The sequence below is a fragment of the Homo sapiens genome, chromosome 3, assembly GCF_000001405.40.
Source record: "Homo sapiens chromosome 3, GRCh38.p14 Primary Assembly".
NCBI lineage: Eukaryota > Metazoa > Chordata > Mammalia > Primates > Hominidae > Homo > Homo sapiens.
Window position 1 is genome coordinate 150,549,803 of NC_000003.12, and position 27,644 is coordinate 150,577,446.

The 27,644-nt window shown below is 37.6% G+C and overlaps 1 protein-coding gene and 1 long non-coding RNA gene across 9 annotated transcripts in view; one reads left to right on the top strand and one right to left on the bottom strand.

Moving 5' to 3' along the window:
* The window catches only part of EIF2A (eukaryotic translation initiation factor 2A), a 39,230-nt gene that overhangs the window by 3,016 nt on the left and 8,570 nt on the right, over positions 1 to 27,644 (top strand). For 2 of the 8 annotated variants that reach the window (NM_032025.5, XM_011513224.3), the window contains exons 2-11: positions 2,554 to 2,623; positions 8,586 to 8,660; positions 12,740 to 12,858; positions 13,713 to 13,812; positions 14,497 to 14,579; positions 17,891 to 17,964; positions 18,100 to 18,244; positions 18,374 to 18,490; positions 22,156 to 22,727; positions 25,847 to 25,960. In NM_032025.5, coding sequence (NP_114414.2) covers positions 2,554 to 2,623; positions 8,586 to 8,660; positions 12,740 to 12,858; positions 13,713 to 13,812; positions 14,497 to 14,579; positions 17,891 to 17,964; positions 18,100 to 18,244; positions 18,374 to 18,490; positions 22,156 to 22,727; positions 25,847 to 25,960 — 1,469 coding nt within the window. Of the gene's footprint in view, positions 1 to 2,553; positions 2,624 to 8,585; positions 8,661 to 12,739; positions 12,859 to 13,712; positions 13,813 to 14,496; positions 14,580 to 15,340; positions 15,425 to 17,890; positions 17,965 to 18,099; positions 18,245 to 18,373; positions 18,491 to 22,155; positions 22,728 to 25,846; positions 25,961 to 27,644 lie in introns of those variants that run through there. The other 6 variants (NM_001319043.2, XM_047449054.1, NM_001319046.2 and 3 more) reach the window with 5 other exon arrangements.
* LOC124900547 (uncharacterized) overlaps positions 14,575 to 27,644 on the bottom strand; it is a 38,807-nt gene continuing 25,737 nt past the window's right edge. Inside the window, exon 2 of the long non-coding RNA XR_007096128.1 lies at positions 14,575 to 17,304. This is a non-coding gene — a long non-coding RNA (uncharacterized LOC124900547). The remainder of the gene's footprint in view (positions 17,305 to 27,644) is intronic.

Genomic DNA, 27,644 nt, shown 5'->3' on the forward strand with positions numbered 1-27,644 from the left:
AAACAGCAATGTCCATTACGTGAAATTCACATTGTCTAATCTGCTTGACCAGTTGAAGTCACAGAGATAATTTATTCAAAATTGAGTGATTTTCCTAAACTAATACATAGTTCAGTGAATGTAAGAGTTGGGAAAAGTATCGTATTTTAAAGATGACTACACCCCTGCCATGGGATCCTTGTTTATTGAAGCCCTGTGTTTTTCTCTCTCTAACTCAGGCCTAGAGCAATAAATAGTATATGAATGTCTAAAAAGGCTAGTAAGCTTGGAAAAGATTATGTAGATGTTTAATGTATTTCACACAGCTACTGTGTGAAACTGGCGTTTATTTGTTGTCTTAAAAGAACTGCTTGCATTCTAGATTTTTCTTTCTGCTAGAACATATTGCCAATCCCATTTGATTGAAGAGGGAAATCACTAAAAACAGGGAATCACACAAACTCAGAATACACTATATTAAGCTAACTACGCATTGTATTTAGTTTCACAGATACTTGTAACTAAAAAGGATTCCTTGTTAGAAAGTTACATGTAGAAAAAAATTGTTTCAGTATTGAGAAGTTTTTTAGTCCCTATTTATTTTTGCTTTTATTAGTTTAAAACAGTTTATGTTCTGTTATGGACCTGATTTTGTGTTTTTTTCTAATAAACTTTGTATCACAGCTTATCAGGAGTAAATTAAACTGTATATGCTTTTATTAAATTTATTTAATAGAAAAACTAATTAAATCTAGCAAGGCATCTTAGAAGTACAAAATGTCAGTTTGGGCCAGGTGGCTTACAGCTGTAATCCCAGCACTTTGGAAGGCTGAGGGAAGCAGATTGGATTGCTTGAGCTGAGGAGTTTAAGACCAGCCTAGGCAATGTAGTGAAACCTCGTCTCTACAAGAAATATAAAACTTAACATGGCTTGGTGGTGGGTGACATGATCATGGTTCACTGTGGCCTTGACTTCCCAAGTCCAGGTGATCCTCCTGCCTCAGCCGTGCGAATAGCTGGGACTACAGGCATGTGCCACCGTGCCCAGCTAATTTTTGTAGAGACAGCATCTCCCTATGTTGCCCAGGCTGGTCTTGAATTCCTGGGCTCAAGCCATCTGCCTGCCTCGGCCTCCCAAAGTACTGGGATTACAGGTGTGAGCCACCACGCCTAGCCTGAGCCCTATTTTGTTTTCCAGCTTCATCATCCTCTAGCCACACAGGCCTTCTTTCCATCCCCTTGACGCTCTGTCGTTTTTCTTTCCATGGGGTTTTTGCACTTGTTAACTGTTCTCCTTGCTTGTTAACTGCCATTGATCCTTTACATCTCAGTATACAAAACACTTAAGGATGCTTTCCCTAACCTTCCATTTTTAGGTTAAAACTCTCTTTTATACCCTCAGTGGTACCATATACCTTTCCTTTGAAGGACTAAACACAGGTATATGATTCCGTATATTTGGCCAATTATTTGATTACTGTTTGCAAAGTTCAATGAGGTCAGAGACAAGGCTGATTTTCTTTCCTATTATTTCGCCAATGTTCAACACAGGGCCTAGGAGGTAGTTTGTTCGTTTTTTTCCCACTAAGCATTTGTTGACTAAATGAATCTATTTATTTGGTTCAGCTTTAGAAGCATTTAATTCAACCATTTAAAAAAGTATAGTCTAGGCTAGGTGCGGTGGCTCACACCTGTAATCTCAGCACTTTGTGAGGCTGAGGAGGGAGGATTGCCTTAGCCCAGGAGTTAGAGATCAGCCTGGGCAACAGTGAGACTCTGTCTCTACAAAAAAAAAAAATAGCCAAGCAGGGTGGCACATGCCTGTAGTCCCAGCTACTTGGGAAACTGAGCCAGGAGCATCACTTAAGTCCAGGAGTTTGAAGTTGCAGTGAGCCTTGATCATGCCACTGTACTCCAGCCTGGGTGACAGCAAGACCCTGTCTCAAAAAAATAAATAAATTTAAACATAGAAATAAGAAGTATAGTCTAGTTCTGTAGATGATTATTTAATCTTGAACTTTGTTTCCACTTAATTTTTTAGGCTATTACTGTCATTGGGGCCTTAATAAATGAATATGTCTCATTCCACTTGTTCTCTTAGTTTGATAAATTGTGAATATATTAATATTGCCTTATATTTCTAAAAACTTTAAACATATACTTTTTTTATTACTTTATATAAAGCATACAGCTATCCTGTGTTCTGATATTTCCATTTTACAGATTAGGTCACAGATTCAGAGGTGGTAACGTATCCAAGGTTCCACAGGCAGTTATAAACTTAGGTCAGGCTCTGAATTCATGTCCTCTTTACCACAAGACAGCTGCCTTTCTTTCAGTGGTGACAAAGTTTCGAGTTTTATTTAAAAAGTTACGTATTTCTCAGCAATTATATGATTTTATGTAACAGAGTAAGAAAATATGCCCTTTTGTTGCTAATATTCTATAGTTCAATGAAATATTTAATGATTTCATTAATATTTTGACTAAAGCTGCTTTTTTAAAAAACACATTTGTGTTAACTGAGTCTTTATTAACAAAGTAATTGTGGTTCTTTTTATTTTACTTCTTTAGTCCGAGGATCAGAAGGACTGTACATGGTGAATGGACCACCACATTTTACAGAAAGCACAGTGTTTCCAAGGTATGATTTATTTTGTTAAGTAATGTTATAGGGAACATACAGTACAATCTAAAATGGTTTTGTTGGTGGTGTATTTTGAACAAGAAAGGAAAAGAACAGATGAACTCATTTTTATTGTATAATATTTACCGAAGATGAAAAGAATACATATTCTCTATCAAGGAAAATGATCTTCAGATCTGAAAATAGTAACTTAAGCCTATTTATAAGGTAGGGGGAACAATACTAAGAAAAAGTGTAGACACTAGTGTAATTGAATACAAGCCTTTATTTTACAAGAGTTGTATCTTAAGGAATGAGAAAAACTTGCAAATTTGATAGCCAAATCATGGCCAGTAATCTTAGTGAAATCATAATGAAAAAGATATTAAAAAGGGAGGACATATATATGCACATAGTATATAGCTAGCTAGATTAATTTTTTTTTCCCCAAAGAAACAATGGACAAGTAAACCAAAAACTAGTTAAAAATGCTTATCTATAGGGGGAGAGAGTTACAGAATGCGGGGGAGAGAGTTACAGGATGCAGGGGACACATCTGTGAAAGAGCTTTGGTATAGTTTTGACTTTGGACCATATAATTGTTTTAAATTTAAAAATTAAATTAAAAGCTGGGCCCGGTGGCTCACGCCTGTAATCCCAGCACTATGGGAGGCCAAGGCAGGCCAGATCACCTGAGGTCAGGAGTTCAAGACCAGCCTGGCCAACATGGCAAAACCCCATCTCGGCTAAAAATACAAAAATTAGCCGGGTGTGGGGGCAGGCGCCTGTAATCCCAGCTACTCTACTCGGGAGGCTGATGCAGCAGAATCGCTTGAAACCCGGAGGTGGAGGTTGCAGTGAGCCAAAATCAGGGCATTGCACTCCAGCCTGGGCAAAAAGATGAGACTCCGTCTCAAAAAAAAAAAAAAAAAAAATTGGGAAACTAAAATAAGTGATTCTAGCTTTATATCAGGTTGGTGGCATAACCATGTGAAGACCTGCAAAATTCTTTTTTTTTGAGACTGAGTTTTGCCCTTGTTGCCCAGGCTAGAGTGCAGTGGTGCAATCTCGGCTTAATGCAACCTCTGCCCCCCAGGTTCAAGCGATTCTCCTGCCTCAGCCTCCCAAGTAGGTGGGATTACAGGTGCCTGCCACCATGCCTGGCTAATTTTTTTGTATTTGTAGTAGTGACAGAGTTTCACCGTGTTGGCCAGGCTAGTCTCAAACTCCTGACCTCAGGTGATCCACCTGTCTCATCCTCCCAAAGTGCTGGGATTACAGACGTGAGCCACCATGCCTGGCCTAATAGTTTTCTTTTTAACTGAAAGTTGATATTGTCATTTGAATCTACTATAGGATAGAGTAAATTAATTGTATTAATGTTGTTAGGCACCAAGATTTTTCAGCATTAGAGTGAAAAGATAGACTTGCCTATATCAGTATGAACTCATGATTTCCTTTCATAAAACATTTGCATTTCCTAGTTCTGGCCAATGAAAAGGCCTGGAAGCAGTGATAACACAGTAGCAGTGAATACCCCATCCTCACAGATTGTGATCTCTAAATACAATTCTTCACTAAAAGGAACCACTTCCTTGGAGAAGTGGTCAACTCTAGGTCTGGGACAGAAAATGTACAAGTTGAGGTAGCAACTTTTGTGCCAGAAAGCAAAGCTATAAAAGACTAATGAGATTTTGTTAAAGGGTCGTAGGAAGCAACTTGAAGAGATTCACACCAACCTAAGATGGGAACATTAAGAATTATGAATAGAAAGATAAAGCATGTCAAGTATATAAATGCTCCCCCGAAAAATCCCCCCTCCGTTTAAACCTAACTGGTCAGCATTGGTGGTTGATGGAGTCCTCACTCATTACTTTGAAAATTGATAAATAAAGGGAAGGAGTCAAGCATTTATCTTGCCTTTCTTATACAAACTGTTTCTCAGAGTAACCAAGTGGTTGATGAGAAAAAGAATTTTATAGACGAATTCCAGTTAATAAATGGAGAATGGATGCTGGATCAGACAATTACCATTTTGTAATCCTCAAGAAATGGATCTAGGCCACTGGTTCTCAAACTTTACCAAGCATCAGAATCATCTGAAAAGCTCGTTAAAATCCAGATTGCAGCTCTCTTTCCAAATGTTCGGATTCATTAGATCAGCGGTAGGGCCCAATAATTTGCATTTTTAACAAATTCCCCAGTGATACTGATGCTGCAAATCTGGGGACCCCCCTTTAAGAACCACTGATCTAGGCAGATGATCATCAAAAGATGCTGAAACCTTTAGCTGAACTGTTTGATGACTGTTAATGGGGAACTTTATAATCAGGCTGTTGTCATCTGACTCTACTGACCAATTTTTATTAGGCCCAGTTCTCTAGAACCTTGCTACAGGAAGCATGGGCCCAACCAAGACCAACTATATTGGCATCACTCCTGAGCCAGTACAGAAATGCATCTCAGGCCCTACCCAACTTACTGAATCAGAATCTGTATTTTAGCTAGATCTTCAGATGATTTATATGCACTTTTTTTTTTCCAGAGTCTTGCTCTGCTGCCCAGGCTAGAATGGAGTGGTGTAATCATGGCCCACTGTAGCCTCAATCTCCCAGGCTCAAACAATACTCCTGCCTCAGTATCCCAAGTAGCTGGGACTATAGGCGCATGCCACCATGCCTGGCTAATTTTTGTATGTTTTGTAGAGATGGGGGTCTCACTATGTTGCCCAGGCTGCTCTCCAACTCCTGGGCTCAAGAGATCCAACCGCCTTGGCCTCCCAAAGTGCTGGGATTACAGGCCTCAGCCACCATGCCTGGCCTGTATGCACATTATTTATTTATTTACTTATTTATTTATTTTTTTTGAGATGGAGTTTCACTCTTGTTGCCCAGGCTGGAGTGCAATGGTACAATCTCGGCTCACTGCAACCTCTGCTTCCTGGGTTCAAGCGATTCTCCTGCCTCAGCCTCCCAAGTAGCTGGGATTATAGGCACCTGCTACCACACCTGGCTAAATTTTTTTATTTTTAGTAGAGACGTGGTTTCACCATGTTGGCCAGGCTGGTCTCGAACTTCTGACCTCAGGTGATTCACCCTCCTTGGCCTCCCAAAGTGCTGGGATTACAGGTGTGAGCCACCACACCCGGCCATGTATGCACATTAATGTTTGAGAAGCACTACTCTAGAAAACCCAGTCTGGCTGGGCGCGGTGGCTCATGCCTGTAATCCCAGCGCTTTGGGAGGCCAAGGTGGGTGGATCACTTGAGCCCAGGAGTTCAGGATGAGCCTGGGCAGTATGGCAAAACCCCATATCTATTTAAAAAACAAAAAACAAAAAAAAAACTATGGCAAAGTTATGTGCTACACTTCATTAGGGTATGCAGTCCCAAGGCTGCAGGAGTAGGGGAGAAAGGGAAATGAGACAGGGAAGGAGTTAAAGCAAGTATGATGGGATATACTGAGGTGACCACAAATCCACAAAATATAGCCAACTTGCTTGGTCATGTGTGCAAAATTTTTGTCTCCAGAAAGGCTGTATGGAACATTTGTACTTCAGAACAGTCTGTTGTGTGGAGACAGGGTAAGAAGTTTACTACAGCCTCTTAGCCTGTTTGGGTTGAATCTGAGTGCCAGAGCTCCTCCATGTGCTGCCGCAGTGCATGGTGGAAGCCATGTGGAAGTATGGCCCTTAACTCTGCAGATTCAAAGACAACCAGTGGCGTTAGGAGATGAGGTCTCTTCATTGAATAGTTGAGGCGTGGCAGCAGGAAGAGTTAGGTAGATACAAGGAGGCACATGACTGAATCCAGTACAATCTCAGTATCACTAAGAGTAGAACAGAGAGATATTTATGTGTCTCCTGGTGAGTTATTATACAGTAGGAACTGTGCTGTACATATCTTCTACGAAAGTTAAAAAAACTTCAAACTCAGAATTTAGTCAGTCTTTTACATGAGTAGTTCTCAAATGTGGCTGCACAATAGAATGACCTGGGGAGCTGTTAAAAAACCCAGATATCCAATCCAAGTATTGGGTATTAAATGATATTAAGAAGTTAATTTTGTGAGATGAAGTGGCATGGTGGTGATTATGTTTTTAAAAAAATATACTCACTGGTTAGAGATGCATAATCAAGTATAGAGCAATATGATAATGACATCTAGTTTTTGCGTTGGAATGTTGTGGCATGAAAGATAAAAGTGGGGAATAGATAAAATTGGCTCTGAGTTAATAGTTACTTAAGCTTGATGATGAGTGCATAGGTGGATTATCATACTTTTTCTCTATTTTTTGTGTATGTTTGAAATTTTTCATTCAAAAAATTATACCAGAAGGAAAGAGGCAAAATTTCCCAATTGCCAAGACCAAGAAAATAATCGAATTCTGGATTCTGTAGTTTAGTAAGTTTATAATCATTGCGATAAGGGGGTGTTTATTAAGTCAAAATGAGCTTCCTAAGAACAAATTGTTTCAAGCTTATCTCGTTTCCTTTCTGGGTAGAATTTCCAGACAGAATAATAGAATACACATTAGAATAATAGAACTGTAAACATAATTTTGGCAAAATATCTGAGAAATGAGAAAGTCTTTGGGTTGCATGATGATGACAGAATTGTCATTGGTTAAGGTCAGTAAAGTCAGCTGATTAATGAGTTAGTTTTAATTTGAGGGAAGGACTGTTGGTGAGCCACAGGATCTTGTTCAGAGCTCACTGAACAGTCTTATAAATAATTTAGATGATAGCCTAGTAACAGTTTTATAATTTATATATTACATACTTCCGTATGTAATGTAAGGACTGACTAATGTTTTAAAAGAGAAAATCAAGATTTAAGTAGGCCTCAGTAGGCTGAAATGATAGGCCAAAACCTGGGTGGAATTTAATAAAGATAATTGTAAAATTCTGCCGTAAGGTTCAGAAATGAGTTGCATAAGTGTAGGGTAGTATAGGATGGGGAACATCTTGATCATAGCTGTTTATGTGGGAAAGATTTTTTTTATTTTTATTTTTTTGTGTGGTGGAGTCTCACTCTTTCGCCCAGGCTGGACAGTGGCGCAGGGGTTCACTGCAACCTCTGCCTCCTGGATTGAAGCAATTCTCCTGTCTCAGCGTCCTGAGTAGCTGGGACTACAGGCGCCACCACCACACCTGGCTAATTTTTGAATTTTTATTAGAGACAGGGTTTCGCCATGTTGCCCAGCTGGTCTCGAACTCCCAACCTCAGGTGATCCGCCTGCCTCGGCCTCCCAAACTGCTGGGATTACAGGTGTGAGCCATTGCACCATGAGAAAGAGATTTTAAAAATGTTTTATTATCTATAAACTGAGTGTAAGCTGTCATTATTGTGTGATTGCAGAAGCACAAATGTCATCTTCATTTGTGCAGATGAATTAATGCAAAGATAGTGTAAGGGATGTATCAGTCAGTTCTCAATGCTTTTGTTGTTATTTAGCAATTCAAATTATTTTTTAGCCAGGAAGTTCTCATCTCATGTTGTGACTACACTAATGTACATCTACATGTGCACAGATACAAGTTTCTATTTGGGTATTCATTATCACTGGGTGATGTATTCATAGTAAACATCTTCACTTCGGAGATACAGTACTTAGAGTTTTGAATACTTGATAGAATATTCCCAAGTAGTTAGGTGAAGAGCCTCTTATTTTTGTTATACTTTCTATCTCTACACATGAGAAATTGATGGAAGGCCTACCACACAAACTTATTCACCCAAAAGGGCTCTATTTTTTTCTTAAAATCCATCTGTTAGTATGAAATCATTTTCCAGCTTACTTTACAGTGATAGCATTGCATTTTAAAGTATTTTGGCAGATGAAAGCATTTTGGAATTTTCTGAAATTTGTGCAAGTTCTTAGTTATTAAATTGATAGTGAAATGGTTGACTTTATAATCAGATTTTTTTGAAAAGTATTAATGCTTATTCATTTAAACCTTTTTTTTTTGTCATTTTCAGGGAATCTGGGAAGAATTGCAAAGTCTGTATCTTTAGTAAGGATGGGACCTTGTTTGCCTGGGGCAATGGAGAAAAGTTAGTGTTCATTTACATAACATATTTTGTGTGTCACGAATATAAACACAACTGGCATTATTTGAATAACAGATATTTGAGTGTCATTAATAAAATCCGTCTTTTAATGTCATGATGTAGTGAGATATTACCTCTCGTTACACAAAATACCTTCAAAGTTGTTCATTTCTATGTATATGCCATGACTTGTTTATCTAGTTACTTAGAATTAAAAATTAATATATGAAAAATATAATTTAATGCTAAAGAAGTTGAGTTGTTTTAAACAGTGCTCTAAGTTATTGGTTGGAGTTTCCTAAATCTGCAGTAACACTGAGAAAATAATTCTCTTTACTCATTTAATCCTAGATGTAGATACTTTTTTACCTTTGCTGTTAAATTACTAACAACTGCCTGCAGTTATTATTATTAGTCTTATGTATATAAAAGTGTATGTTATTCAAAAGAACGTTTAGTATAATATATGTTACATAAAATACCAGTTTACAAAATTGGTCTTGCACAAAAAATTATGTTGATTAAATGCTTATATTTTATTAAGAAAACCAGTCCTTTTTAATTTTTCAAGAGTTACTACAACATTTTATTTCATAGACCATGCAAATGCCCAAATATTTGTTGCTTGGCTTAAAGTTATCTACATTGTTCTAAACCACATATAATACTGTTAGGTTTTTCAAAGGGGAGAAACTGCATGCATTAGTTTGAAAAGTAAATTTTAAACATTGTTCTTTACAATGGTAATGTATTCAGAAGTGTTTAAACTACCCATTAATACTTGCTTTTTAAAAATTGACTACTAAAGAGAACATGTTGAATTAGTTGATTCACCTTTTATGACTATAAGTAGCTGGCAGAATTAGCTTTTATAATTAAAAAAAATTGGTCTTTTATTCTTTTTCTTTTTTCAATTTTAATAGAGACAGGGTCTTGTTATGTTGATCAGGTTAGGCTCAAACTCCTGGCCCCAAGCAGTCCTCCTGCCTCGGCCTCCCGAAGTGTTGTGATTATAGGTGTTAGCCACTATGCCCAGCCCTTTTTTTTTTTTTTTTTTTTGAGACAGGGTCTCACTCTGTCACCCAGAGTGGCGTGATCTCAGCTCACAGCAACCTCCGCCTCCCAGGTTCAAGCGATTCGCCTGCCTCAGCCTCCCCAGTAGCTGAGACTACAGGCAGACAACACCACATCTGGTTAATTTTTGTATTTTTAGTAGAGATGGTGTTTCACCATGTTGGTCAGGCTGGTCTCTAACTCCTGACCTCAAGTGATCCACCCGCTTTATTCAGCCTCCCAAAGTGCTAGGATTACAGGCATGAGCCACCTCACCCAGCCTGAATCTACTACTCTCAAATCATTAATAATATAATTATAATGAGTCTTATCTACAATGTTAACAGTTTTAATCTCAGCCTCAAAAAGTAGGATGTGATCTCAAAATTTCTTACTCTTTTTTTGTGTAACCTATTGTGGGTACTTAAATTTTATTTTTTAATCCATATTTTAGTTTGTAGTATTTGAGTAATGAATCAATAGAAATTTACTACCTAATGGGCTATACTATACTTCTTTTCATTGTCTTTTTTTGTTTGTTTGTTTTTGAAGTATTCCTTGTTCTTCTAGCTTAGAGTTTGTTGAATAAGTCTGTTTTTACCTTGGCAGTTATTGTTAATAGTTCACTCATATCCACACTTAACCTTCTATGGGATTCAACTCTGAATCTTTTTAGTATGTCCCCATATGTCATGTCCATGATTTTAATAGATATCTTCTATATTAAGTTCTAGCATTTATTTCATTAAAGTGCTGTGACCACAATGGTACTTATTGTTCTGGGGCAAGAGAACTAGATTTCATGTATTGATTGTGGTCTTTGTTCAGTTTCTGGTTAACTAAGTCAGAAACCGTTACTGATTCTTCCTTAAATATGTTTTTTCTTAATTAAAATAAACATCCTTCATTAAACTAAGAATAACTCTTAAAGACCATCAATTCTGAGTAGGCTCCAGTTGCAAAGCAAAGAAAAAAATAAAGGTTAACAACAGCAACAAGAAGAAAACAAGAAAGCGTCTTGTAATTCTAAAATAGGTTATTTGCAGCAAGTTGTAAAGATTTCCATGTTAGGTGTGTGTGTTTAAATACTATGTGGTAATTTTTCATTCTTTTCAGTGACTGCTTATCTTAACCTCAGTTATCTTCCTCAAACCTGAGTAGAACAAAGTTACTTACAGCAACTTCTGGAATAAGATGGAGAGTCTTTTTTTTTTTTTTTTTTTTGTTAAACACCCCAGAGTGTTTAGTACATAACAGTAAGTCAGGCCAAACTGATTTCAAAGCTTGGCTGTGGCATTTATCAATAGTATGATCTTGAGCAAATCGTCAAATCATTTTATTTTTCTAAGCCTAAATTTCAGCACTTGTAAAACAGAAATGATGACATTTGTAAGATTGTTGTAAGGATTAAATGAGAAAATGTACATAAAGTGGTTAGGTACATAGAAAACATCCCAAAATGGAACTGCTTTTATCATACAATTATTGTCATTTTTGTCATTGTACCATAATAATTCTTAGAATCATATCTTTTAGAGATTGCTCTTGAGATTGTAGTAGACATCAAATGTCTCCTTACTGATTTCCCTAGCTGCTATAGCTTCTATTTATTTAAAAAAAATTTTTTTTTTAATTGAGATGGGATCTTGCTATGTTGCCCGGGCTGGTTTTGAACTCCTGGGCTCAAGCAGTCCTCCCACCTCAGCCTCCCAACATGCTGGGATTACAGGTGTGAGCCACTGCACCTGGCCCATTTATTCAAATTTAAAAGTATACTTTTGCGGGCCGGACACGGTGGCTCATACCTGTAATCCCAGCACTTTGGAAGGCCAGGGTGGGTGGATCACCTGAGGTCAGGAGTTCAAGGCCAGCCTGGCCAACATGGTGAAACCCCGTCTCTACCAAAAATACAAAAATTAGCCAGGCGTGGTGGCATGCGCCTGTAGTCCCAGCTACTCGGGAGGCTTAGGCAGGAGAATCACTTAAACCCAGGAGGTGGAGGTTGCTGTGAGCCAAGACTGTGCCACTACACTCCAGCCTGGGTGACAGAGTGAGACTCCATCTCAAATAAAAAATAAAACAAAAGTATACTTTTGCCATTTTCTCTAGCACCTCTGCCTTTCCTTTGGTTTGATAGACCTCAGCTTCTCTATAGATTAGTTTTGTGTTCACTTAAAGGCATTTTTTTCCTTTTCAGCTGAAGGTGGAATCATCCATGTGTCTTCTATTTTATATCATTTCCCAGCACTAGCCTTATATAGGAGCCTTTTGGTAAAATATACATTTTTTTTTTTTTGAGATGGAGTCTCACTCTGTCACCCAGCCTGGAGTGCAGTGGCACGATCTCAGCCCACTGCAGCCTCTGCCTCCCGAGTAGCTGGGATTACAGGTGCCCACTGCCACGCCCGGCTAATTTTTGTAGTGTTAGTAGAGACAGAGGTTCTCCATGTTGGCCAGGCTGGTCTCGAACTCCCGACCTCAGGTGATCCACCCACCTCGACCTCCCAAAGTGCTGGGATTACAGGTGTGAGCGACTGCACCTGGCCCTTTTTTTTTGAAGTTAAGGTATTTCCCGCATATTTTCTAGAACCAACTTAAAGTTGATTTTTATGAAAAATGAACATTTTGGGCTGGGCATGGTGGCTCACGCCTGTAATCCCAGCACTTTGGGAGGCCAAGGCGGGCGGATCACGAGGTCAGGAGATCAAGACCATCCTGGCTAACACGGTGAAACCCCATCTCTACTAAAAATACAAAAAATTAGCCGGGCGTGGTGGCGGGCACCTGTAGTCCCAGCTACTTGGGAGGCTGAGGCAGGAGAATGGCATGAACCGGGGAGGTGGAGCTTGCAGTGAGCCGAGATTGCGCCACTGCACTCCAACCTGGGAGACAGCGAGACTCCATCTCAAAAAAAAAAAAAGTCAACATTTTGGAGTGATCTGTATTTGAAAAGAGGTATGAATGTTTTGGTTAGTGTTGACTACTATAAAACAGTATTTCATTGCTGAAATAATTTCTTTTGAAACCAGAGTAAATATTATCAGTGTCACTAACAAGGGACTACTGCACTCCTTCGACCTCCTGAAGGCAGTTTGCCTTGAATTCTCACCCAAAAATACTGTCCTGGCAACGTGGCAGCCTTACACTAGTAAGTATTTTCTCAGTGTAAAAATACTCTGACACGATCAATTACGTTTAGTGGGGGGGAAAAAGTTATAAAGTTTATAACCTCATAAGAAAGTAATTAGTCTTTATGATAGTAAATAGTGTTTGTGAATATTTATGATCTACAGTGAATCTTGTACTCTCCAAATAAACAATGTATTGAAAGTAATTTCAAGGTATATGGTAAGTTAATGTAAAGAGCCATTATGAGCTAAAGGAAAAGAAAAAGCTCAAGGGAAAATTCAGGAAGTAAATAACTGCTGGATAGAGATTTCTGAAGATTAAGAATAATAATGACTTTTAAAATCAAGACTTTTAAATAATTATTATGTGAAAGGAAGTACAGTAGACAAAACATCTAAGGGATGTGTATGGTAGAGTCGAAAATGTTGTGCCATTTTCCAAAATATTTAAAGAGATACTTAATGATAATACATTATATGAACATTTCATATAACTGTGTTTCATGTAATAAAATAGTTATAGGGGCTTATTTTAAGAAACATTTTCTAATAATGTTGATATTTTTGAATAAGTAAATGATAATAGGTCATTATTGGCTTACAAACCTCCTGAGTTTTTGTTCTTTCAAGAGGTATGAACTCTCATGAATCTAATTTTTCCAAGTAAATGAAAGAGATACTGAGAATCAGTTGAGAATCATGAGTGGGTTATGTAACCTTTCATTTATTTATTTATTTATTTTGGTAACACAGAGGCAAGCTTTCATGATTTAACCCATTTGATAGTAATCCATATCAAACTTAATAAATAAGAAAAATAATCCCTTTACAAATGTTACAAGGCAATTACTGAAAAAAAGAAATTTTATTGCAGCTTCTAAAGATGGCACAGCTGGGATACCCAACCTACAACTTTATGATGTGAAAACTGGGACATGTTTGAAATCTTTCATCCAGAAAAAAATGCAAAATTGGTAAATAAATGGCTTAAAATACTAATTTTTTACATAGTATTTTTAATGTCATCACTGTATAATATTTGTTTTCCTGATATTGATTTAAAAAATAACTTATCAGACAAAAATCTACATTTTTAAGGATTTTGTATGTAGGAATGTAATAGAGCAAAAACTTGATCCTTCTTTCCTTTAGTATTAAGTGGAAAGGAACAATGTTTTCTTTTTTTTGTTTGTTTGAGAGGGAGTCTCGCTCTGTCACCCAGGCTGGAGTGCAATGGCCTGATCTTGGCTCACGGCAACCTCTGCCTTCTAGGTTCAAGCAATTTCACCTGCCTCAGCCTCCCAAGTAGCTGGGACTACAGGCACGTGCCACCATGCCTGGCTAATTTTTGTATTTTTAGTAGAGATGGGGTTTCACCATGTTGGCCAGGCTGGTCTTGAACTCCTGACCTCAGGTGATCCACCTGCCTTGGCCTCCCAAAGTGCTGGGATTGCAGGTGTGAGCCACCGCACCTGGCCTTTTCTATTAACATATATTGACTAAAACTATTAGTAACTGACTTAATATCATATTTATAAGTGTTTATAAGTGTTTTTCCTTAAATGGTAACCAATATCATAAATTACTTTAACATGTTAATGTGATGTTACATTCTGTCTGAATATTTTTTATACTTTTTTTTTTTTTCATTGACATAGGTGTCCATCCTGGTCAGAAGATGAAACTCTTTGTGCCCGCAATGTTAACAATGAAGTTCACTTCTTTGAAAACAACAATTTTAGTATGGAAAGATTTATGACATAATTTTATTACTTACTGTAATCGTATACAGTTTCCATTAACTTTTATGACATCATAGGGTTTTCCTAAATACTGTTAATCTATTAATCAATAATTACTCTTACATACATTTGCATAATTCTTTATAAGTCTGAATTCAGTGAAAATCTGTAACACAAAGGTTTTCTTTTACAATAACTTTTTATTATCTGGTAATTGCTATTAAGACATTTGAATATCTTTTCCTGAATTTAATTGCTATTGAAATTCTGTGACACAAATTTTTTAGATATTTTATCGTGTAGAATTTTAAACTTCAGACACCTAGTTCTAGTAACCATCAGCTTGTGGCCAATCTTATCTCATCCATACATCTCTCCAGCTACCATCTCTTACTAAGTGAAAGCAAATCCCAGATATGGTTATACTTTTATATACTTGTTAAATATGTAATTGTAAATATTTCAGAGTAGATTTCTGAAGATTGGGGCCTTTCATTTTTTAAACTTAGCCACAAAACCATTATCACAAATTATTAAATATGTGTTCAAATTTCTACTAATTGCAAATGTTACAATTTTTTTTAAAACTCGGGATCCAAATAAGGTACTGCACATTGTGGTTGATTGATATATCTTTTATGTTTCTTTTGGTCCTATAAGTTCCCACTCTATCTGTTATTTTATTCTTCATAATTTATTGTTTAAGAAACAAGGTTATTTGTCTTTCACGTTTTCCCATAGTTTGAATTTTGCTTTTGTATCCCATGGTATAATTTAACATGTTCATCTGTCCCCTATAAATTGCAAGTTGGCTCTAGAGTTTCAGCTTCAGGTTCTTTTTTAGGTGAGTAAGGGTAAGACTACATTATAAGGTGATGTTCACTTCTTTTATCAAGAAGCACATAATGTCTGGTTGTCTTTAATTTTGTAGGCTTAGCTGACATTAATGTTTCATGCCTGGATGCATTATTTCATCAGTGGTTGCAAATTGTTGATACTCTGGTTTTTTCTCCCTCACTTATTTTTCAGCTGTACTGCTTCTATAAAGAAAAATTTCCCCTTCTACTATTTGGTTACCTAGTGCTGCATTTATATAGAAAAGGCGGGATAAATATTCTTGCTCTTATCAGTTTTAATATAATGTATTCCACCTCTAGCAACCTTCATTGTAACCAATTAGCTTTTTCCCCATTCTTGTTTTTCGAGAGTGGGCCTCATTCTTTTGTCCAAGCTGAGTGCAATCATGGCTCACTGCAATCTCGACTTCCTGGGCTCAAGCAATTCTCCTGCCTCAGCCTCCCAAGTAGCTGGGACTACAGGCTTGCACCACCATGCCCGGCTAATTTTTGATTATTTGTAGAGACAGGATCTCATTATGTTGCCCAGGCTGTTTTTTAGTTCCATTCTTTTTTTTTTTTTTTTTTTTTTTTGAGATGGAGTTTCGCTGTTGTTGCCCGGGCTGGAGTGCAATGGTGCGATCTCGGCTTACCGCAACCTCTGCCTCCCAGGTTCAAGCGATTCTCCTGCCTCAGCCTCCTGAGTAGCTGAGATTACAGGCATGTGCCAACATGCCCGGCCAATTTTGTATTTTTAGTAGAGATGGGGTTTCGCCATGTTGGTCAGGCTGGTCTCGAGCTCCCGACCTCAGGTGATCCACCTGCCTCACCCTCCCAAAGTGCTGGCATTACAGGCGTGAGCCACCACGCCTGGCCTTTTTAGTCCCATTCTTAATGAGCTGTGGATTTAAAAGGTATGTGTTTCAGTCCATTGTAGTTATTTTTCTTATTGATGCTCAAATTGTCTCATCTTTGATCAATTAATCCTTAGTGACTTCTTTGCTATATGGTAAGACAAGTCATTCTAGGATTAATTTGTACATTTCTAACCATTACACCTAGAACTGGCTAATTTTTCAGGAAACCCTGTCGCCTTTTTGGTGTGCTACTTTTGAATAGCTATTGATCTCTGAAATTGAACAAAGAAAAAGTATTAGCTCTTGATCTCATTGAAGGAAACATTAAAAGGTAATAGGGTTTCTTGAAAAATTGGCTGAGTCTAGCAAAAAAAAAGGTATTTAGGTTCTAGAGATTCTTATTTGCTGTTGCATTGATCATTGTTTCTAGGCCTTTTTTTTCTATTTAAAAGATGTAACAATCATAATTTTATTTAAATTAAAGTTTTATACGTATAGTTTTATTTAAATTGAAGACTACAAGGTTTTTATTTAACTTCTATCTTATTTGTATTGCCTTCTGTCACCACCAAGAATCTTGTTACTCTGGAATACCAGGGATGATAATTTGAGAATATCACATTCACATAAGTATTCATTTGGTTTGTTCCACATTATCCACAAGGTATTCTTACAATCTTAATACCAAAAAGTAACACTGTTACTGAAAATAATTTTTTAAAAAGGGTTTGCAGTTCTTTTGTCTTTAGAGCATCCCATTACTGATTGTACAGTTTTGAGTATATCATAGTTAGAATAGGAATTGGTAACTTTGTTCACACGTACCAAAGATGGCATGTAGGCTGATTTTGAGCAGCATCCAATCAGTATAGTTATGCATTTTATTTTCCTGTGTTTGAGGCGCACTGTCACCTCACTGTTTCTGGGTTAGCTTGCTTTCTTGTCTTATTCTCCTCTTTGTGAGCATGTCAAATGAAGAGGGATCACCACTTTGACAGTTTGGTGTGCTGCTTTTGAAAAGCCATTGATCTCTGAAATTGAACAAAGAAAGTATATTAGCTCTTGATCTAATTAACTAGAGTGGCAGTTTTATTAATAATAGCATGGCTCAGACTGCCTGGAATAGAGTAAGCTCTTAATATCAGCCATTGTTACTGTGGTTGTGATCATCATTATCATGCATCTGTTTATCACATTAAGTTACAGAATTTCCATATCCACATTCTGCAGTAGCAGGCCAAGGTTGATCTTTTCCTTCTAATAGGCTCTAAGACCACTTTATTTCAGCGATTGAAGAGAGGATAACTGACATTTATCAAATACCTACCATGTGCCTGGCACTCTTCTCTTAAAACCAATTACTGAGAGTTGGGTGGTATAATCCCATTACTTGCCTAAGCTCACACTGCAAGTAAATGACTGAGTAGAAATTGAAGCCTACATTTGTCTTGCTCCTACCCCATGCTTTTTCCACTGTGTTACTGTATCTCACCAGGAGGAGACTACAGTGAGTAGTATTGGTGTGTAGTTATAGTGATCTTTGATAATGTATTCAGAGTTTAACATGTTCCTTTTAGGTTCTCTCATCAATCTGATTTAATTTACTCTTTTTTTTAGACACAATTGCAAATAAATTGCATTTGCAAAAAATTAATGATTTTGTATTATCACCTGGACCCCAACCATACAAGGTAATTGCTGTTTTTGTTTATGTGTAATATTATGTGTTTAAACCTTTTCCTAGTTTTTTGTGATTGTAAAAACATGTCCATCTCAGTTTTTATTCTTCAAAAAATTAAGTAATGATTTATGTCTATGTATCTTAGGTGGCTGTCTATGTTCCAGGAAGTAAAGGTGCACCTTCATTTGTTAGATTATATCAGTACCCCAACTTTGCTGGACCTCATGCAGCTTTAGCTAATAAAAGTTTCTTTAAGGCAGATAAAGTTACAATGCTGTGGAATAAAAAAGGTATGTTAAGTATATTTTATCCCTCCCTTTGTTTATCAGTTGTTAATTTAGGCTATATTCCTATGTGTATAACAGAAGAATCAATGCCCATTTGTGTTTTAAATCTAATTAAAGTTTTTACTGTTATAGCTACTGCTGTGTTGGTAATAGCTAGCACAGATGTTGACAAGACAGGAGCTTCCTACTATGGAGAACAAACTCTACACTACATTGCAACAAATGGAGAAAGTGCTGTAGTGCAATTACGTGAGTATTCCAGCAGTCTTCCTTTGATTAGAAACAATGATAGTAAAAAATACTATGCCATAAAGATGATATAATCTAAATTCTTGATCAAAAGATAGAATTCATATGCCTTAATAACCTTTAAGATAAAATTTTTCTTAATTAAGAAACTTAAAAATCATCCTCCAACATACCTTATTTTGGCAGAATACAATTAGTTATTTGAGTTACGCCATCGTTTTAGAAGTGAACTTCCTGAGTAAGGTAATTCCATTGTAGTAGCTCTTTTGGAACTTACTTAGCTAATTATGACGGCAAATTGCTTAATACTGTCTTTAGAATTGTTAGTAATATGCAAGAGGCCAGGCATGGTGGCTCGTGCCAGTAATTCCAACACATTTTGGGAGTCTGAGATGGGAGGATCATTTGAACTCAGGAGTTCAAGACCAGCCTGATCAACATAGTGAGACCCTACCTCTACAAAAAATAGAAAAAGTTAGCCAGGCATGGTGGCGTATGCCTGTAGTCCCAGCTCCTCAGGAGACTGAGGCAGGAGGATCACTTGAGCCCAGAAGTTCAAGGCTGCAGTGAGCTATGATCATGTCACTGTACTTCAGCCTGGGTGAAAGAGCGAGACCCTGTCTCAAAATAATAATATCCAAGAATGTTACCACTTCATCTGTTGTTTTAATGAACTAAAACTTTAAAATAATAGTTTTAAAATACTGATAGCGTCCTAATTTTCTCATTTTGAATTGAACATGTGTAAGTAGGGTAATCTATGTTTTAAAAAAACTATTTCCATTGAAGTCAGAGAAAAAACAAGGATGGCTCCCCTTTTCACTTTATTTTAATAACATTCTGAAATACCTAGTCACTATAATCAGCAGAAGTAAAATATATACAGTTTTGAAAGAAAACAAAATCATCTCTGCTCATGTAGATGAAGTCACACTATAACAGCTACTTTAAAAAAATGAAAGATTCCATATATAGCAAAAATAATAAGAACAAATATATAGGGCCAATGAGAAGAAAACTTTAAAACTCTTCAGAGAGACAAACTATGACCTTTACTAAGAAGAATTATTTTTATAAAGATGTCATTTCTCTCTTGTCAGTCTAAAACTAAATTTAAATGCTAACTGATTTTTTTTTTTTAACTAAATAAACTGGCTGTAAGGTTGGTGTTGAAAAATGAACACACAAGAATATTTTGGAAACTTGTGTAAAAGAAGAGCAGGGCAGGGGAAGTTATCTGGAGTTCTGACACTACCAGATATTAAAATGTACCCAGCACTTTGGGAGGTTGAGGCGGGCAGATCATGAGGTCAGGAGATCAAGACCATCCTGGCTAACATGGTGAAACCCCATCTTTACTAAAAATACAAAAATTAGTTGGGTGTGGTGGTACATGCCTGTAATCCTAGCTACTCGGGAGGCTGAGGCATGAGAATTGCTTGAACCCAGGAGTGGGAGGTTGCAATGAGCCAAGATCGTGCCACCGCACTCCAGCCCGCTGACAGGGTGAGACTCTGTCACAAAAAAAAAAAAAGTAAGCCAATTGTAATTAAGACAGTTTGGTTGTGGTATATGGATATACTGGTAAAACTGATAAATCAGTGGAAGAGAACAGAGTCCAGAAGTAGATCCATACTTTTGTAGACATTAATATATAATAAAGTCAGCATTTGAATCAATGGAGGAGAAAATATTGATCATTTAATATGTGGTTTGGGATAACTGGCTAGCCATTCGAAACAAAAGGTTATTATCTTCTTCACAAAATAAATTCTGGTTGGGTCAAAAACTTATACATAAGACTGCAGAGGAATTAGAAGAATATATGGGAGAATTTTTTTTCTAATCTTAAGAGTAGAAAAAGACTTTTTAAACAAGATAGAAGTACTAAGGGGAAAAAATAATGAATTTGACTAGAGAAGAATAATGGATTATTACAATGAGAGAAGAAAAGAGTCCATAAATTAAGCAAAATGAACAAAAAGTTGGGGAAAATATGTTTTTTAAATAGTCAAGTGATAAGTATGAGGAAGGTCAAATTTTCTTAATATATCAAGTAAGCCAAGTAAAAGACCAATAATTGGAGAAAAATAAAATAGGCATAGGATAGTAAAAATTAGTCCTCAGAGCCGGTGCAGTGGCTCATGCATATAATCCCAACTATCTAGGAGGCTGAGGTGGGAGGATTGTATGAGCCGAGAAATTTGAGGCTGCAGCAAGCTAAGATCCTACGGCTGTACTGCAGTCTTGGTGACAAAATGAGACCATCTCTTTAAAAAAAAAAAGAAGAAGAAAAAAAATCAGCCCATAGAAAAAGAAATAAAATTACTTACAGTAAAAGATGCTTAACTTATAATTTAAAAAATACAAATGAAAACAAGATAGACATTTTCACTTAGTAGGCTGATGAAGATAAAAATATGAAACTACACAGTATAGTTGAAGGATAGTGAGGGGGAAGCCTGCATCATCAAAAACTGCTGACAGAGGCTGGGCACGGTGGCTCATGCCTGTAATCAATCCCAGCACTTTGGGAGGCTGAGGCAGGTGGATCACCTGACGTTAGGAGTTCAAAACCAGCCTGACCAACATGGCGAAACCCCATCTCTACTAAAAATACAAAATTAGCCCGGCGTGGTGGCTCATGCCTGTAATCCCAGCTACTCAGGAGGCTGAGGCAGGAGACTTGTTTGAACCTGGGAGGCAGAGGTTGCATTGAGCCGAGACCGTGCCACTAAACTCCAGACCGGGCAACAAGAGTGAAACTCCATCTCAAAAACAAAAAAAAATTCTGAAAGGATATCCAAGAAATATAACAGAGGGTTGCCTTTGTGTAAAATGACCTGTGTTTGTGGCTTTTTTTTTGAGATGGAGTCTCGCTTTGTCACCGAGGCTGGAGTGCAGTGGCACGATCTTGGCTCACTGCAACCTCTGCCTCCCAGGTTCAAGCGCTTCTCCTGCCTCAGCCTCCTGAGTAGCTGGGATTACAGGTGCATGCCACTGTGCCCAACTAATTTTTCTAGTTTTAGTAGAGGTGGGGTTTCATCATGTTGGCCAGGCTGGTCTCAAACTCCTGACCTCAGGTGATCTGCCCACCTTGGCCTCCCAAAGTCCTGGGATTACAGGCGTGAGCCATCGCACCTGGTCTTATGTGGCATTTTTAAAAATATAGGGCCCAGTGGCTCATGCCTATAATCCTAGCACTTTGGAATGCCAAGGCAGGAGGATCCCTTTAGCCCAGGAAGTCGAGGCAGCAGTAAGCTGTGATCATGCCACTGCACTCCAGCCTGGGCCACAAAGTAAGATCCCATTTCTATAAATAAATAAATAAACAAATAAATAAATAAATTAGTTTGTATTTTGATTACCATCTGCACGTATTACCCCTTCCAAAAACAAATTTATTAATAGTAACAAACTATTACTATAAGGCCATATTACCAAAATGTTTAAAAGAAATTAAGATTCAATAGGGGTTCTTAAATAAATTTATGATTATACATTAATCCCCCTAGTATATAATGTAAGAGTATTTTAATGTTAACATTCCTTGAAATTTTTTTATCTGTTTGATGTGTTTGTGAGTACTATATGATGGTAACTTTTGCTAACAAATATTTATATAGTTCTTTATTGCTAATTTGGGCTTTATATTCTTTTTCTAGCAAAAAATGGCCCCATTTATGATGTAGTTTGGAATTCTAGTTCTACTGAGTTTTGTGCTGTATATGGTTTTATGCCTGCCAAAGCGACAATTTTCAACTTGAAATGTGATCCTGTATTTGACTTTGGAACTGGTCCTCGTAATGCAGCCTACTATAGCCCTCATGGACATATATTAGTATTAGCTGGATTTGGAAATCTGAGGGGACAAATGGAAGTGTGGGATGTGAAAAACTACAAACTTATTTCTAAACCGGTGGCTTCTGATTCTACATATTTTGCTTGGTGCCCGGATGGTGAGCATATTTTAACAGCTACATGTGCTCCCAGGTTACGGGTTAATAATGGATACAAAATTTGGCATTATACTGGCTCTATCTTGCACAAGTATGATGTGCCATCAAATGCAGAATTATGGCAGGTTTCTTGGCAGCCATTTTTGGATGGAATATTTCCAGCAAAAACAATAACTTACCAAGCAGTTCCAAGTGAAGTACCCAATGAGGAACCTAAAGTTGCAACAGCTTATAGACCCCCAGCTTTAAGAAATAAACCAATCACCAATTCCAAATTGGTAAGTAAAGTTTTACTACTTTTATAGAAAAAAGTTTATTTTGGGCCAGGAGTGGTGGTTCACATCCGTAATCCCAGCACTTCGGGAGGCCGAGGCGGGAGGATCACTTGAGGTCAGGAGTTTGAGACCAGACTGGCTAACATGCTGAAACCCCGTCCCTACTAAAAATAACAAAAATTAGCTGGGCATGGTGGCGCATGCCCGTAGTCCCGGCTACTCGGGAAGCTGAGGCAGGAGACTCACTTGAACCCGGGAGGTGGAGGTTGCAGTGAGCCGAGATCGCACCACTGCACTCCAGCCTGAGCAACAGAGTGAGACTCCGTCTCAAAAAAAAAAAAAAAAACAACCTTTCTCTTGGACTAAACAAAACGTATGACTGGTCTGAAACTTCTTAATTTCCATCGAAATGTTCTATTTAACCAGTATTGTTTTATTTATGTAAAATTATATAAAGACATAACATGATATTTATTTGTATTTATCATATTTATTTAGATTTAAAAAGAAAGTATATAGTAGACTTCAGATTTTTCCTATTTCTGTATTGGAATTTTCCTTACCTCAGATAAAAACAAAAGTAACTCCAACCCATCCTGCTTTCTGAATCTGTGCATGATGGCACAATTCTTTGATCCATAAAAGTAGTAGGTTTATTTTGGTGAGGGGGAGAAATTGATACAGAAAATAATACTTTGAAAATGGTGATGAAATTAGGTAAGAACTTAAAATCAGGATTTTTTTGAGACAGAGTCTCACTCTGTCATCGAGGCTGGAGTGCAGTGGCGCGATCTCTGCTCACTGCAACCTCCACCTCCCGGGTTCAAGCAATTCTCCTGCCTCAGCCTTTTGAGTAGCTGGGATTACAGTGCCTGCCACCACGTCCAGCTAATTTTTTTATTTTTAGTAGAGATGGGGTTTTGCCCTGTTGGCCAGGCTGGTCTGGAACTCCCGACCTTAGGTGATCCACCCGCCTTGGCCTCCCAAAGTGCTGGAATTACAGGCATGAGCCACTGTACCCGGCCAGGATTTTTTTGTTAACATTTAAGATTTCTACTAAATTGTTGCTTTTTTATGTGGCGTGATGATTGTGTGGTCCTGTCAAATCATTTTAGTTGAAGTAGCTATATGCCCAGTAATTAGAAATGTTTACGTGTATCTAATTCCAGAAATGAGCTAAATTACAAAGAAAATACTGTCAAGAAATTACTAGAAACAAAGACAGTGTAGTAGATAACTTCACAAAGGAGGAGAGTTACACAGCAGTAGGGGAAAAAAGGTGTTGGGGTTCGTCCCTCACAGAAAAAAGTTTTTTATAAGTAAAAATTTATATATAAATTATACTTAAAGAATATTTATTAGCTTTCCAAAAAAACCTTCACCTTTTAAAATGCGTTCGTTGGTCCGGTGTGGGGGTTTCGATCTGTAATCTCAGCACTTTGGGAGACCGAGGCGGGTGGATCGCCTGAGCTCAGGAGTTTGAGACCAGCCAGGGCAACATGGTGAGACCCCATCACTACTAAAAATGCAAAACAAATAGTTGGGCATGGTGGTGTCTGCCTGTGATCCCAGCAACTCGGGAGTGTTGAGGTGGGAAATTCACTTGAGCCCAGAAGGAGGAGGTTGCAGTGAGCTGAGAAATTAAAATGTGTTCATCAAAAACAGTCCCATAATAATTGATATAACTGAATAAACAAAGTTTATTAATGAGAATGAAATTATGCGTAATGAGCACATAGTACCAAAACCAGAAAAAACTCATGATTTATAGTAGTTGTGTGGATTTTTTTCGTCTCAAGTGAAAGGCTCTCAGTGGCTACATGATGCTCATAAGCGTGGAAGAGACTTGTAACTTATCTTTTCTTCTTGTATCATTTTTCATCAAAGTTCTGAGCAGAAACTTTTCGGCCAAAGTAAACTACTACAGAAGAGCCCACTATTGAAAGAATTTTCATATTATGTATAAAACAAATGTTCAGCAAATATTGTATAACTTAAGTAGCATTTTATGCAACATGGATAAAAATGAAATGAAAGAGCCTTGCACTCCAAATTTGTCTGCTGTTCTACAAATGTGGGTTCTCATAATATTCAGTTTGTTTCAAGTAGAATATGAACATACCCAGAACTTTGATGACCTGAAATAGTTAATGCATTTGCTAAGATAAGGTCACTTTATGGTTTCTTATTTATTACTCTGCATCTTAAGTGTTTGAGCTCTGCTCATTTCCATATAGAACTTATAAGTAAAATGCGGATCTGAGACCTAGTACTCAAGAAACTTCATGGAGAGCTGGTACTTTTGATGTGCTGAGTTATGGTACAGTCTAAGAGACAGTTAACATTAAAATAATAGCAATATAGATAGAAATCAGTAAGTACCTGAATCTGATAGAGAGTTGTAGTGCCATCACTTATACTGTATGTTGTCTAAAACTGTTCTGGAGATACATTGAATCTATAATTCACCATCTTTTCTATTGTGGAATATAGTTGTTACATGGTTACATGAATATCTGATGTTGGAAATGATTGTCTTCATTGTGTAATCTGACAAGCCATGTAATTTTTTTTTGGTCTCTTCATATGTCAATCCCAGATTTGTAATTATCTAGTTAATTACTCCTTTCTATTTCATTTATTTTCTTATAATCTATTCTTGTTTTTTCATTTGCTTTTATTTTTAATCTTCTAATTTCTGATTTTACAAGTAAAGATCTAGCAAGTAATTCTTTGTGTGAAGAAAACAAGCGAGGCAACTGGGTTTCTGTTGACAATAGTTAGAACCAAAAAGGCCTCAGAAGAAGCTGTTGTTGGTATCTAGTTTTCATAAGAATCATGTGTCTGTAGTAGTGCTAAGAAAAATTCTGTTTGAACAAAACTAAAGTGAATTTTGCCAGCTCTGATATGATTGAAAGATATAGGAACTAATAGGAAGACCCTAATTAAATCCATCCTGACAGTTGGAGTGTGCCACTACCAATGAGTTTCAAAATAATCTTTGCTAATGATCTTAAATTTGATAAAATAAGTTTATCCTATATTAGCAGAAGTGTATAATTTGTTGTTGTAGGTGTTTACAACATGGACTCCATTTCAAAATTATTTTACATTTTCCATAGCATGAAGAGGAACCACCTCAGAATATGAAACCACAATCAGGAAACGATAAGCCATTATCAAAAACAGCTCTTAAAAATCAAAGGAAGCATGAAGCTAAGAAAGCTGCAAAGCAGGTATTTGGGGCACTAATCTCATAACAAAACAAATAGTCAGTTATGGCCGGGCGCAGTGGCTCACGCCCGTAATCCCAGCACTTTGGGAGGCTGAGGCGAGTGGATCACTTGAGGTTAGAAGTTCAAGACCAGACTGGCCAACGTGGTGAAACCCTGTCTCTACTAAAAATTCAAAAATTAGTTGGCCATGGCTTATAATCTCAGCTACTCAGGAGGCTGAGGCAGGAGAATTACTTGAACCTGGGAGGTGGAGGTTGCAGTGAGCCATGATCGCATCACTGCACTCTAGCCTTCCAGCCTGTGCGACAGAGAGAGACTCCATCTCCAAAAAAAAAGGCAGTTAAGTTAGCTTTAAGCCTTAAAGTTTAAAGAATTGTGGTCCTAAATACTTGACTGTGACCAGGTGTGGTGGCTCATGCCTGTAACCCAGCACTTTGGGAGGCCAACGTGGGAGAATTGCTTGAGCCCAGTTCGAGACCAGCCTGGGCAACATAGTGAGACCCCCATCTCTATGAAAAATTTTTTGCTGGGCACAATGGCGTGTACCCCGTAGTCCCAGCTGCTTGGGAAGCTGAGATGGTAGGATCACTTGAGCTTGGGAGGTTGAGGCTGCAGTGAGCTGTGATTGTACCACTTCAGCCTGAGTAACAGAGCAAGACCATGACTCGAAAAAAAAAGAAAAAAAGCACAAAAAACCTTGGCTCTTACGTTATAAAATGTAGTTGGAGTTAGACTTAAATAGGCAGAATATCTTTCTTTTGTCTTTGCCTATGAATTTCTAAGTAATCCTGTCTATATGATGGGTGACAAAAGAAACTGGACTTGACATCATAACCTGAGACACTAATGGTATTATGTAAGCATGTTACTTGCTGTAGACCCTTTTGGTGGCACTTGTGTGAAGTGGTGTAGTTTGCTTTCCTTGAAGCATGTATTTACTAAGAGAAGCTGGAAATTACATGACTAGAAAGCCATTTGGGCACTCAGTATTATAGTACTATATGAAATTATTTAACTGGGAATCGAAATACCAGAAGTACCCAAATAATGGGATATTTCCAAAATAGTTTCTTACTTGATTACGTAGTTGAAAAGCCACACCAGTGTAAATAATTGACAAATTGTGATATTGTATAGCTCATGGTGATAATGTGATTGGCTGGGCTGGGGATGTCTGGTTAGTGAAGTTATGGTGATCACATTTTTGCAATTCAGGTAGAGTACATGTCTCAATCCATTCAGGCTGCTACCTTATACTAGGTAATTCATAAACAAATTTATTGCTCACAGTTCTAGAAGCTGGGGCGCTGGCAGATTTGGTATCTGGTGAGAACCCGTTCATCATAGATGGCACCTTCTTTCTGTGTGTCCTCCCATGGTGGAAGGGGCAGTGGAGCTCTCTTTGGTCTCTTTTATAAAGCTACTAATCTCATTCTTGAGTGTGGAATCCTCATGACTTAATCATTTTCCAAATGCCCCACCTTTTAATACTATTACATTGGGTATTAGGTCCCAAACTATGAATTTGAGGGAAACACCAATATGTCAGACTGTAGCAGTGGGGTAGGGTTTTTGGATGTTTTGTTTTTGTTTCTTTTGAGACACTCTGTCTCACTCTGTTATCTAGGCTGGAGTGCAGAGGCATGATCACGGCTCACTGCAACCCCAGACCCTGAGCTCAACT